The sequence below is a fragment of the Homo sapiens genome, chromosome 21 (genome assembly GCF_000001405.40).
Source record: "Homo sapiens chromosome 21, GRCh38.p14 Primary Assembly".
Taxonomy (NCBI): domain Eukaryota; kingdom Metazoa; phylum Chordata; class Mammalia; order Primates; family Hominidae; genus Homo; species Homo sapiens.
The window spans coordinates 42,789,292-42,802,445 of NC_000021.9; the positions used below are offsets into that span (position 1 = coordinate 42,789,292).

A 13,154-nucleotide genomic window follows, 5' to 3' on the forward strand; every position below is an offset into this window, starting at 1 on the left:
GCTACTTGGGAGGCTGAGGCAGGAGGATCACCTGCACAGCCATAGAGAAAAAGGAAATCATGTCCTTTGCAGTAACGTGGGTGCAGTTGGAGGCCATTGTCTGAAGCGAATTAACGTAGGAAGGGAAGCCACATACCGCATTTGCTCACTTCCAAGTGGGAGCTGAACACTGAGTGCACAGGACGTAAAGAGGACAGCAACAGACATTGGAGACTATTAGACATGGGAGGGAGGAGCCAGGGCTGATAAACACCTACTGGGTACTATGCTCAGTACCTGGGTGACGGGATCAGTTGTACAAACATCAGATAAACACCTACTGGGTACTATGCTTAGTACCTGGGTGATGGGATCAGTTGTACAAACATCAGCATCACGCAATGTACCCAGGTAACAAACCTGCACATGTACCCCCGAATCTAAAATAAAAATTGAATTTTTTTTAAAAAAAGAACTTCTTATATTCTAGGCATAGTATGTTCAATATATATAATGGCAAATGAAGAAAGATAGTGTTCTTTCCCTCATCAATCCTAAAATAATATGAATCAAAAAATTAATTATGGGCCAGGCGCAGTGGCTCACGCCTATAATCCCAGCACTTTGGGAGGCCAAGGTGGGTGAATCACCTGGGGTAAGGAATTCGAGACCAGCCTGGCCGCCATGGCAAAACCCCGTCTCTACTAAAAATACAAGAAAATTAGCCGGGCGTGGTGGCGGGTGCCTATAATCCCAGCTACTCGGGAGGCTGAGGCAGGAGAATCGCTTGAACCTGGGAGGTGGAGGTTGCAGTGAGCCGAGATCGCACCACTGCACTCCAGCCTGGGCAACAAGAGAACACTTCATCTCAAAACAATTAGATTAAATTAAATTAATTACGGCAAGAGTAAGCAGCATTGTTGTTTGTTGACAAATGGCTTTGAGTTCTAAGACTGATCTTCATGATCATATCTGTGTATTAATGTATGTTATACATGAATATTCAATTCATGTAAGATTTCTGTTCACTACGTGGGTTACACAAGACACAATAAAGCAAAATTTCAAAATAAGAAGAAAGCATATAGAGAGATCCCATGTGCCGTTATTCTACATACTCGTCCTCTGTTGGATATAGGGCTTGCAAATAGTTCCTCCCAGTCTGTAATAAAAGGCCCCAGGTCTCCTCAATGCTCACATCTTCTCTAACATATCATGATGTCACAGGCAAGAATGGACAGTGACACACACGAGATTCAGAACACTCCCCAGCCACCTCCCAACTCACAGACATCCCTCCAGGGATCCACAGGATCCCTCCAGTGCCCCTTGTAAGACCCGTTTGTATAACCATTGAGGACATCCAGGCTAGTCCACTGTTTGGCTTTGACAGGTAAATCTGCTAGGAACATTGATCCACTGGTTGTTATGAACATGAGTCTTTGCCTGTCTGGGCGTGCCCAGGAGAGCAATCCTGGGGCTGTATAGTAATTGAACATGGAGTTTTGTAAGAAACTGCCAAACCGTTTTCCAGAACGGCTGCACCTTTTACATTCCCACCAGCAATGCACAAATCGGTTATCTTTTTGTTACTGACATCTAGTTTGATTCCCCTTTGGTCAAAGTACACATTCTGTATGATCCCAACTCTTTTACATTTATTGGGGTTTAATTTATGGCTCATTATGCAATCCATCTTGGTACATGTTCCATGAACGTTTGAAACAAATGTGTACAGCCAGTCATGGTAGCTCACGCCTGTAATCCCAGCACTTTGGGAAGCCAAGGTAGTGGATTGCTTGAGCCCAAGAGTTTCAGACCAGCCTAGGCAAAATGGTGAGACCCCCATCTCTACAAAAAATACAAAAATTAGCCAGGCATGGTGGTGTGTGCCTGTAGTCTCAGTGGGAGGCTAAGGGAGGAGGATTGCTTGAGCCTGGGAAGCAGAGGTTGCTGTGAACTGAGATCGCACCACAGTGCTCCAGCCTGGGCAACAGAGTGAGACCCTGTCTCAACAAAAAAAGAAAGAAAAATAAAATAAAAGAATGCGTACAGTGCTGTTGTTGGGTAGAGTTCTGTGAATGTGGAGAAGGTCATGTAGATTGACAGTGTGTTGAGTGCTTCTATGTCCTTGTTTGTTTTATGTCCAGCAACAATGGCAATGGTCTTTCACTGAGGGCTGCAGCCCCACCAGACAGTCATCTCCATGCAGCCATCTGCTCCACATCCAGGTGAGTCTCCTCTCTGCCATTTCAGACCTAAGGGAAGGCAGGAAAGGCACAGCTGCCTGCTCTCCCTAGCCCTGGAATACTGAGTTCTCTGCCCCCTGCCCACAGCTTTGTAAATAGTCCCATTACTAAACTTTCCTCAGTGACCCAGTTTTCCGTGATATCTCTGGCCCGCTGTGGCCTTATGACAGATATCCCAGGGGGCTACTGCCATTACCTAGGACTCCTATGGAAGAAATTCCCACTGAAAATGAGCTCACAGAGTGAGTCCATTAGGCTGTGGCTGTAATAAGATGCATAACGGAGACTTCCATTTCCTCTTAGAATGTAGAAAACTGCAAAGAACATTGCTCCCACACTAACAATGAGAACAGTCAGGTAATCCTCAACGCCACTGGAGAGGTGAATCACAGGGGAACAAAGTGAACTGAATTCCAAAAAGGATGGGCCCCTTCAAGCAGAGAGAGAGCACATGAACTGCTTTATTTTTGACAGGTGTCAAAGAAAAAAATATTCAATAACACTTGTGTCTTTTTTGGTTTTGGGGTTATTTTGTTTTGTTTTTTGTTTTTTTTGGGGGGGGAGGGTCTCACATCTCACTCTGTCACACAGGCTGGAGTGCAGTGGCACAATCATAGCTCACTGCAGCATCAACCTCCCGGGCTCTAGTGGTCCTCCCACCTCAGCCTCCCGAGGAGCTGGGACCACAGGTGTGTGCCACCAGCCCAGCTAATCATTTTTCTTTTTGAGAGAGATGGGGTCTGGCTATACTGCTTGAACTCAGGAGGTGGAGGTTGCAGTGAGCCGAGATCGTGCCACTGCACTCCAGCCTGGGCGACAGAGGGCGACTCCGTCTCAAAAAATAAAAATAAATAAATAAACTGACTTAGCAGGATTCTTTGCTAAAGCTGGACTTTACAAGAAGTGCACAGATGGTCCTAAGAGAAGTTTCTGGAGCTTGACTAAATTTTGGTCAAGCAGATAATCTTATTACAGAGTATAGAAGAAACAGTGGCCACCATATGGATGGACAAGAAAGATTCAGTAAAATTCTTAAAGGCGGGCCGGGCGCAATGGCTCACGCCTGTAATCCCAGCACTTTGGGAGGCCGAGGCGGGTGGATGAGGAGGTCAGGAGTTCAAGACCAGCCTGGGCAACATGGTGAAACCCTGTTTCTACCAAAAATACAAAAATTAGCTGGGTGTGGAGGCCCGCGCCTGTAATCCCAGATACTCGGGAGGCTGAGGCAGGAGAATCGCTTGAACCCGGGAGGTGGAGGTTGCAGTGAGCCGAGATCGCACCATTGCGCTCCAGCCTGGGCGACAGGGCGAGACTCTGTAAAAAAAAAAAAAAAGAAAAAAAATTCTTAAAGGCCAATTTGTGTGACAGATGGGGAGAGCTGGGGTCCCATACAGAAGGGGATCTTGCACTCACTTGTAAACGCTCCACCATGGGCCTTTAAGAAAGAGTGGGGACTGGCCGGGCGCAGTGGCTCACACCTGTAATCTCAGCACTTTGGGAGGCTGAGGCAGGTGGATCACGAGGTCAAGAGTTTGAGACCAGCCTGGCCAATATGGTGAAACCCCATCTCTACTAAAAATACATAAATTAACTGGGTGTGCTGGTGCACACCTGTAATCCCAGCTACTCGGGAGGCTGAGGCAGGAGAATTGCTTGAACCCAGGAGGCGGAGGCTGCAGTGAGCCAAGATCGCGCCTCTGCACTCCAGCTTGGGCAACAGAGCAGGACTCCACCTAAAAAAAGAAAAAAAAGAAAGAGCGGGGACAGGGCAGGTGATGACAGACAGCCCTTGTGGGTGATGTGGATGTGCGAGAGGGGATGGTGCTGGGGCAGGTAGGAGCCCCAGCTGCTCCCTGGACACTCTTACAAGCAGAAGACTTGAGCTGCTGAGGAAGGTGCATTAAACCGTCTTGCTCCCAGGGCATAAGCAAAGCTCCATTGATTCTAGGGCAGAAGAAAGGGAAAATCCCATCTGCCCTCAGTTAATTTAGAAAGTTTATGTTGTGAAGGTTGAGGACGCGCCTGTGACACAGCCTCAGGAGGTCCTGAGGTAAAGAAAGGCAGATTTGGCCAGGTGCGGTGGCTTCATGCCTGTAATCCTAGCATTTTGGGAGGCCAAGGAGGGCGGATCACCTGAGGTCAGGAGTTCGAGACCAGCCTGGCCAACACGGTGAAACCCTGTCTCTACTAAAATTACAAAAATTAGCCAGGCATGGTGGCATGTACCTTACAACACGTGCCCAAGGTGGTCGGGGCACAGCTTGGTTTTATACATTTTAGGGAGACGTGAGACATCAATCAATATAGGTAAGAAGTACATTGGTTCGGTCTAGAAAGGCAGGACAACCTGAAGCAAAGGCAGGAAGACTCGAAGCTGGGAGGGGGCTTGCGGGTCACAGGTGGGTGAGAGAGTTGCATTCTTTTGAGTTTCTGATTAGCCTTTCCAACAGAGGCCATCAGATATGCATCTATCTCAGTGGTGGGGGTGGGGGTGGTGACATTGAATAGAATGGGAGGCAGGTTGGCCCTAAGCAGTTCTCAGCTTGACTTTTCCCTTTATTTATTTATTTAGCTAGTTAGTTAGTTATTTTTGCAACGGAGTCTTGCTCTGTCACCCAGGCTGTAGCACAGTGGCGCGATCTTGGCTCACTGCAACTTCTGCCTCCTGGGTTCAAGCAATTCTCCCTGCCTCAGCCTCCCAAGTAGCTGGAACTACAGGCACGTGCCACCACGCCAGGCTAATTTTTGTATTTTTGGTAGAGACAGGTTTCACCATGTTGGCCAGGCTGGTCTCGAACTCCTGACCTCAGGTGATCAGCCTGCCTCAGCCTCGCAAAGTGCTGAGGTTACAGGCGTGAGCCACCACGCCCAGCAGACTTTTCCCTTTAGCGTAGTGATTTGGGGGTCCAAGATTTATTTTCCTTTCACACTATCTTGTTTCCAGGGCGTAAGCGAAGATCCACTGATTATAGGGGTGAAGAAAGGGCAAAACCTGTCTGCCCCAGGGAAGGGATGGAAAATACTCTTCCTCCAGGACCTTGGCAAAAATCCACCCCCCGTGAAGGAATGGTCAAGGGTGTGGACATGGGGCCAGATGGGAAACTGCCACCCAAGACCAACCACAGAGAAAAGGTGCTGCGGGGCGCCATACAGAGAGGAGAGCAGGGATGCTTGGAGATGGCCTCCCTCTGAGCTGCAAACCTGCAGGCACAGCTGAAAGCTGGGGGCAGGGGGGTGGGTAGGAGCCTGAGAAGGACCCCCGGCATGAGGTGGCTGCCTCCCACAGCTTGAGGAATTTGAAGTCTCCAGTGCGGTGCACTGAGATGACCATTACAACAAACCCACACCCAGCCCAACTGCTGACTAGATGGTGGTCTCACCGCCCCCACCAAGAACCTGGAGAAGATGAGACAGGCCAATTTCCAGGCACAAGGAGTCTGCCTACTTGTTCTAGTGATCACCGAGAGGGCACTGTAGATGTCTCCAGCTCTAGTTGTGGATTTGTTTATTTCAGTGTTTGTTCTTTCCAATTTTTTTGTATATTTTGAAGCTCTGTTGTTAGGTATACACACATGTAGGATTGTGATGTCCTAATGAAGACTTCATCGCGGGTGCAACTGGCTGGGGCCAGCGTCATGGTCAGTAAAAGGATTTACCGGCCAGGCACGGTGGCTCACACCTGTAATCCCAGCAGTCTGAGAGGCCGAGGCAGGAGGATGACCTGAGGTCAGGAGTTCGAGACCAGCCTGGCCAACATGGCGAAACCCCATCTCTACTAAAAATACAAAAATTAGCAGAGCATGGTGGCGGGCACCTGTAATCCCAGCTACTCGTGTGGGATATGATGAGGTTTCTCTTCAAATAATCTGATCAATCTTTTATTCTTTAATTCATAGTGCCTCCCCAACTTCTCCTTTTTCTCCTTTTTTCCTCTTCGCCTTTGTTAGATGCCCAGGCATGCCATAGTACTAGGCGTTATCAGTACCAGCTCCATTCCTTTCCTTATTTGGAAAGAGGACTAACTTTCTAGCTCATTACAGACACCCCTTCCCCTTCCTCTCCACTTTCTTTTATGTGCCTGCCTTATGTAAAAAAAAATCCAATGTTTAGCCAACCAGGATTAGTTTAGATTGTAGGACCTGACCCCAGCCAATGGGGAAAGGGTACAGGGGCGGGGTAGGACTTGCATCAGGAATAAAGGCTCTTGTGCCCCTTGTTCAGGTGTGCTCTCATGGCCATTGGCCAAGGAGGCACCCCTCTGCGCAGAAGGAAAATTGCTTTGCTAAGAATCCTTTGTTCGAGTGTTCAATTTCCTTAGGATTTTGAGCATTATTCCTAACACTCAGGAGGCTGAGGCAGGAGAATCCCTTGAACCCAGGAGGTGGAGGTTGCAGTGAGCTGAGATCACACCACTGCACTCCAGCCTGGGTGACACAGCAACACTCTGCCTCAAAAAAAAAAAAAAAAAAAGAATTTACCAAGACAGTCGTAGGTAAAGAAAGGCAGATTTGGCCAGGTGTGGTGGCTTCATGCCTGTAATCCTAGCACTTTGGGAGGCCAAGGAGGGCAGATCACCTGAGGTTAGGAGCTCGAGACCAGCCTGGCCAACATGATGAAACCCTGTCTCTACTAAAATTACAAAAATTAGCCAGCCATGGTGGCATGTACCTGTAATTCCAGCTACTCAGGAAGCTGAGGCAGGAGAATCCCTTGAAACTGGGAGGCGGAGGTTGCCGTGGGCCAAGATCGCGCCACTGCACTCCAGTCTGGGTGACAGAGTGAGACTTCATCTCAAAAAAAAAAAAAAAGGCAGATTTATTTGAGAAAATACGAAGGTGCGTTGCAAGGATGTAACAGGCAGCACAGCAGAGAAGGAGCTGTCTGCAAAGAGGCAGGGGCTGGAGGGAGGTTCTGCAGGTTCGTGCTGCAGGGGCTACGTCCTGAGCGAGGTAGTTGTGCCAGAGGGTTGCCTGTGGTTAGCCACCTCTCAGAGTAATTCTTCTCCCTCACCTGGGACCTCTTCCTCATTCTTGCTTACTTACCTTATCAGGACTCCACAGACTTGACCCCTTGATCTTTATGCAATATCCCTCTTTATCCGTGGTGTCAACCTAAACAGAGAGGGGCTTTCTAAAAGAAGCTGAAGTCTATTTGGGATTGGAGCACTGCTGTGGAAATCCGTGCACCATCATACACTCTGTGTTACTCAGGGAGGGAACACAGCGAGACGACGGGAAAATGAGGAGGGTCATATCATTGTTTTGAGATAATTATCCTTAGCTACGAAGACCAGTAACAAAGGTGGCACCAATCCAAGGTTGGGCAGGCAGTCGCTGGGCAGATGTCCTCACAGAAGGACCTTTGATGTGAGGTTGCAATGGCCTTTTTGCAAGGCTGTGGGTTTTGCATTCTTCTGGGATAGCTGTGCTGTCAGACATTCATGCTCAAGAACCGTCTCTTCCTGGTCTTCTCTGGCTTCTCTGTCTAGGCTTTTTTTTTTTTTCCTTTGTGATGGAGTTTCACTCTTGTTGCCCAGGCTGGAGTGCAATGGTGCGATCTCGGCTCATCGCACCTCCGCCTTCGGGTTCAAGCAATTATCCTGCCTCAGCCTCTGGAGTAGCTGAGATTACAGGAATGTACCACCACACCTGGCTAATTCTGTATTTTTAATAGAAACAGGGTTTCTCCATGTTGGTCAGGCTGGTCTCGAACTCCCGACCTCGGGCACCTCGGCCTTCCAAAGTGCTGGAATTACAGGCGTGAGCCATTGCGCCCGGTCACAAGGTTTTTGGTTTTTGTTTTTGTTTTTAACACAAGAGATTCCATTTTGATTCTGACAACTTTCACACTGGTAACATTTCTTGTACCAAGCTTTGTTTAATATGAATATTGCGTTCCAGCTGATTTTATAGTGTGTGTGTGCACAACATATCTTTTCTCATCCTTTTATTTTTAACCTATTGTGAAAGGAAAATAAATCTTGGGGCCCCCAAATCACTAAGCTAAAGAGAAAAGTCAAGCAGGGTACTGCTTAGGGCCAACCTGCCTCTCATTTTATTCAAAGTCATCCCTCTACTCACTGACACAGATGCATATCTGAACGCCTCCTTTGGAGAGGCAAGTCAGAATCTCAGAAGAAAACAACCTTTTGTCTCTTATCTATAGGTGGCCTGGAAGCCCCCTCCCCTGGCTTCCAGTCCTCCTGCTTTTGCTCTGAGTAGTCCCGCCTTTCCAGACCGAACCAATGTTCATCTTGCGTATGTTGATTGATGTCTCATGTCCCCCTAGAATGTATAAAAACCAAACTGTGCTCTGACCACCTTGGGCACGTGTCGTCAGGACCTCCTGAGTCTGTCACAGGTGCGCATCCTCAACCTTGACAAAATAAACTTTCTAAATTAACTAAGACTTGTCTCAGATTTTCCAGGTTCACACTATCTATGTCTTTATACTTAAAATGAGTTTCTTTTAGATAACATATAGATTTAAAAAAAGCATCCATGAACCATGAAACAGGTTATCGTTTTTAAAGGAGAATATTTTAAAGCAAATAAAAATGTTACTATAGTTATTATGATCCATTGACATAAAATATTTGACATAAGGATTATACAGTAAAGCAGAGACCAGTGCTGTAACACAGAAGATAAAGATTGAAAAAGTAACGAAAACTTTAGATAATGTAGACAAAAAGACTCAAACTTTGTAAAATATTTTAAGACATTTATTCTGAGCCAAATATGAGCGGCTGTGGCCCATGACGCAGCCTTCAGGAGGTCTTGAGAACATGTCCCCAAGGTGGTCAGGGCACAGCTTGGCTTTATATATTTTAGGGAGGTGTGAGATGTCAATCAAATATATTTGATAAATAGATTGGTTCAGAGAGGTGGGGCAACTCAAAGCGGGTGGGAGGGGAGGGTGGGGGGCGGGGCTTCCAGGTGAACGTAAACATTTTCTAGTTGACAATTGGTTGAGCTTCTCTAAAGACCTGGGATCCAGTAGACCAGGTACGGTGGCTCACACCTGTAATCCCAGCACTTTGGGAGGCCGAGGCAGGCAGATCAGAGGTCAGGAGATCAAGACCATCCTGGCTAACACGGTGAAACCCCGTCTCTACTAAAAAATACAAAAAATTAGCCAGACGTGGTGGCGGGTGCCTGTAGTCCCAGCTACTCAGGAGGCTGAGGCAGGAGAATGGTGTGAACCCGGGAGGCGGAGGTTGCAGCGAGACGAGATCGCTCCACTGCACTCCAGCCTGGGTGACAGAGCAAGACTCCGTCTCCAAAAAAAAAAAAAAGACCTGGGATCCATAGAAAGGAAATGCTCAGGTTAAGATAAAAGATTGTGGAGACCAAGGTTCTTCTGAAGTCTCATAGTAGCTGCCCTTAGAGACAATCGATGACAAATGCTTCATATTCAGACTTTTAAAAGGTGCTAGACTCTCGGTTAATCTCTTCAGGATTGGGAGGGCCGGAAAAAAAAATATCTGGCTATGTGAATAGAGATTCTTTACAGAAGCAGATCTTCCCCCACAAAGGATGGCTTTGCAGGGCATTTCAAAATACGGCAAAGAAACATGTTTTGGGGTTAAATATTTTGATTTTTTTCCTTGTCTTATAATGTTATGCCAGAGTCAGATTGGAAAGTCAGTAATGATATATACGGTTAAATAAAACCATCTGATGAGAATTTATGGTTTGCAGGGCATGACTCCCCAGACCCCTTCGATAGGAATTTGGGCAAGATAAAAAATCAGAGCTTAGTCCTCAAAAAGTTTAAGAAAATAGAGTAAGGAGCTCTAACATGCATTTTATAAAGAGAAAATGGAGAAAATGAAAGAGACAATATTCAAAGGTAAGAGAACTTCCAGGCCAGGTGCAATGGCTCATGTCTGTAATCCCAGCACTTTGGGAAGTCAGAGTGTTGTAAGTAAAGTTTCGGTGCCACAAAAGAAATTTTCTTGTAATTCCCAACAAGGCAAGTAACTTCTACAGAAGGGTGCGCCCTTACAGATGGAGCAATGGTGAGCGCACACCTGGACAAGTGAGGGAAAGGGGTTCCTATTTCTGATGCACATGGTCCCTACTGCTGTGTCGTTCGCCTATTGGCTAGGGTTAGACTGCACAGACCAAACTAATTACGACTGGCTAATTTCAAGAGAGTGATGAGGTGAGTGGGTTGGCAAAAAAAACGGTAATGAAATGAGTCAGGGTGGAGAATGAATCGGAATGAGTCGGTGGAGTAGGTCATCAGAATGAGTCCAGGTGGAGAATGAGTCAGGGTGGAGCAGGTAATTGAAAAACGTTGCTTTACAAGGAAGTTAAGTTTAAAAGTAGAAGGCAAACAATTGAACATACTGACATATTAATTCTTTGAAGAGAAATGTAGAATTCATATTTAACAAAAGCAGGAGGATTGCTTGAGTCCAGGAGTTTAAGACTGGCCTGTGCAACATAGCGAGACCTCATCTCTACTAAAAATTTTAAAAAATTAGCCAGGCATAGTGGCCTGCACCTGTAGTCCCAACTGCTAGGAGGGCTGAGGTGGGAGGATCACTTGAGCTCAGGAGGTGGAGCCTGCAGTGCGCCGTGATCGCTCCACTGGACTGCAGCCTGGGTGACGGTGAGACCCTGTCTCAAAGGAAACAAAAAAAGGAGAACTTCCAGACTTGGGGTAAAAAACTGTCCATTGGTTGGATACTATGTTTTGCTGCTGGTTATAGAAAATGAAAATAAGACTGATTTATCTTGATAGCATGAACATGACAGAGGCTTATTTTTCCTCATGTTGAGAAGACTGAAGAGAAGCAAGCATGAGGTCAAATACTAAGCAAACCTCTTGCCAGTCTTGCAGCTCCTCAAGAGCCTGAGAGCCACCTCTTTGGTGGTGGTGGTGGTGGTGGTGGTGGTGTTTGAGGTGGAGTTTTGCTCTTGTCGCCCAGGCTGGAGTGCAATGGTGCGATCTTGGCTCACTGCAACCTCTGCCTCCCAGGTTCAAGTAATTCTCCTGCCTCAACTTCCCAAGTAGCTGGGATTACAGGCATGTGACACCACACCCAGCTAATTTTTTATTTTTAGTAGAGAACGGGGTTTTTGTCATGTTGGCTAGGCTGTTCTCAAACTCCTGATCTCAAGAGATCCACCTGCCTCGGCCTCCCAAAGTGCTGGGATTACAGGCATGAGCCACTGCGCCCGTTCGGAACCACCTCTCTGAATCGTCAAGGAAGCTGACACCACCTTGCGGTTTCCTAGAGTTTCCTTTAGACTACGAAATACGGTGAGTTGACCAATTGTACCTTGAAAACCTGAAGGCCAGGGGTTGTATCTTTCACACGCGTCCGTGTGAAGAGACCACCAAACAGGCTTTGTGTGAGCAACAAGGCTGTTTATTTCACCTGGGTGCAGGCAGGCTGAGTCCGAAAAGAGAGTCAGTGAAGGGAGATAGGGGTGGGGCCGTTCTATAAGATTTGGGTAGGTAAAGGAAAAAGGGGGGTTGTTCTCTGGCGGGCAGGAGTGGGGGGTCACAAGGTGCTCAGTGGGGGAGCTTTCTGAGCCAGGATGAGCCAGGAGAAGGAATTTCACAAGGTAATGTCATCAGTTAAGACAAGGACTGGCCATTTTCACTTCTTTTGTGGTGGAATGTCATCAGTTAAGGCAGGAACCGGCTATTTAAATATCACTTCTTTTGTGATTCTTCAGTTACTTCAGGCCATCTGGATGTATACGTGCAGGTCACAGGGGATATGATGGCTTAGCTTGGGCTCAGAGGCCTGACATTCCTGTCTTCTTATATTAATAAGAAAAATAAAACATAATAGTGTTGAAGTGTTGGGGCGGCGAAAATTTTTGGGGGGTGGTATGGAGAGATAATGGGCGATGTTTCTCAGGGCTGCTTTGAGCGGGATTAGGGGTGGTGTGGGAACCTAGAGTGGGAGAGATTAAGCTGAAGGAAGATTTTGTGGTAAAGGGTGATATTGTGGGGTTGTTAGAAGAAACATTTGTCGTATAGAATTATTGGTGATGGCCTGGATATGGTTTTGTATGATTTGAAAAAAGAACGGAATAAGACAAGGAGAAAAACAGGTATTAAAGGACTAAGAATTGGAAGGACCCAGGACATCTAACTAGAGAGTGCCCAAGGAGGTTCAGCATAGCCCTGCCAGCAAAGATTATTTATTTACTTTAAGAGGGAGTTAAGAGTGGTGATTTAGGGATAGCACCAGTAGATATCAGCTGTGATGGCTTGGAGAAACAGTGTAAACCAGCAGTGTAAACAAGAGCAGGGCATTTATGAGTAGTTGAGAACGGCGAATAGGAGTATGATTAGACAGAAGATAGTAGGGATGACAAGTTTTGTTTTTTTTGCGGGGGGGAGGGCGCCGCAGTCCAACTTGGTCTGGTGTCTGGAATGAGACTGGGGCCTAATAAAAAGGAGCGTCTATACAGGAGCTCAAATGGGCTGTACCTTGTGGCATTCTGAGGACAGGCCTGAATTCTGAGGTCAAGTGGTAAAAGTATTGTCCAGTCCTTTTTAAGTTGGTGGCTGAGCTTGGTGAGGTGTGTTTTTAAAAGACCATTAGTTCACTGAATAAGAGCTTGAGAAACTGCTTGGCTGATTTGACTAATAAAGGCTGGTCCGTTATAGGACTGTATAGAGGTGGGAAGGCCAAACCGAGGAATTATGTCTGACAGAAGGGAAGAAATGACCGTGGTGGTCTTCTTAGACCCTGTGGGAAAGGCCTCTACCTATCCAGTGAAAGTGTCTACCCAGAACAAGAGGCATTTTAGTTTCCTGACTCGGGGTATGTTGAGTAAAGCCAATTTGCCAGCCCTGGGCGGGGGCAAATCCTCACGCTTGATGTGTAGGGAAAGGAGGGGGCCTGAATAATCCCTGAGGAATAGTAGGATATCAGATGGAACACTGAGA

The 13,154-nt window shown here is 46.9% G+C and overlaps 1 annotated feature.

The window, feature by feature from the left end:
* Positions 11,590-12,171: an enhancer, noted in NCBI's record as "NANOG hESC enhancer chr21:44220991-44221572 (GRCh37/hg19 assembly coordinates)". NCBI's record gives its function as "activates a minimal SCP1, AML or CMV promoter by ChIP-STARR-seq in naive H9 embryonic stem cells {active_cell/tissue: H9 hESC(naive)}" and the evidence as "EXISTENCE:reporter gene assay evidence [ECO:0000049][PMID:30033119]".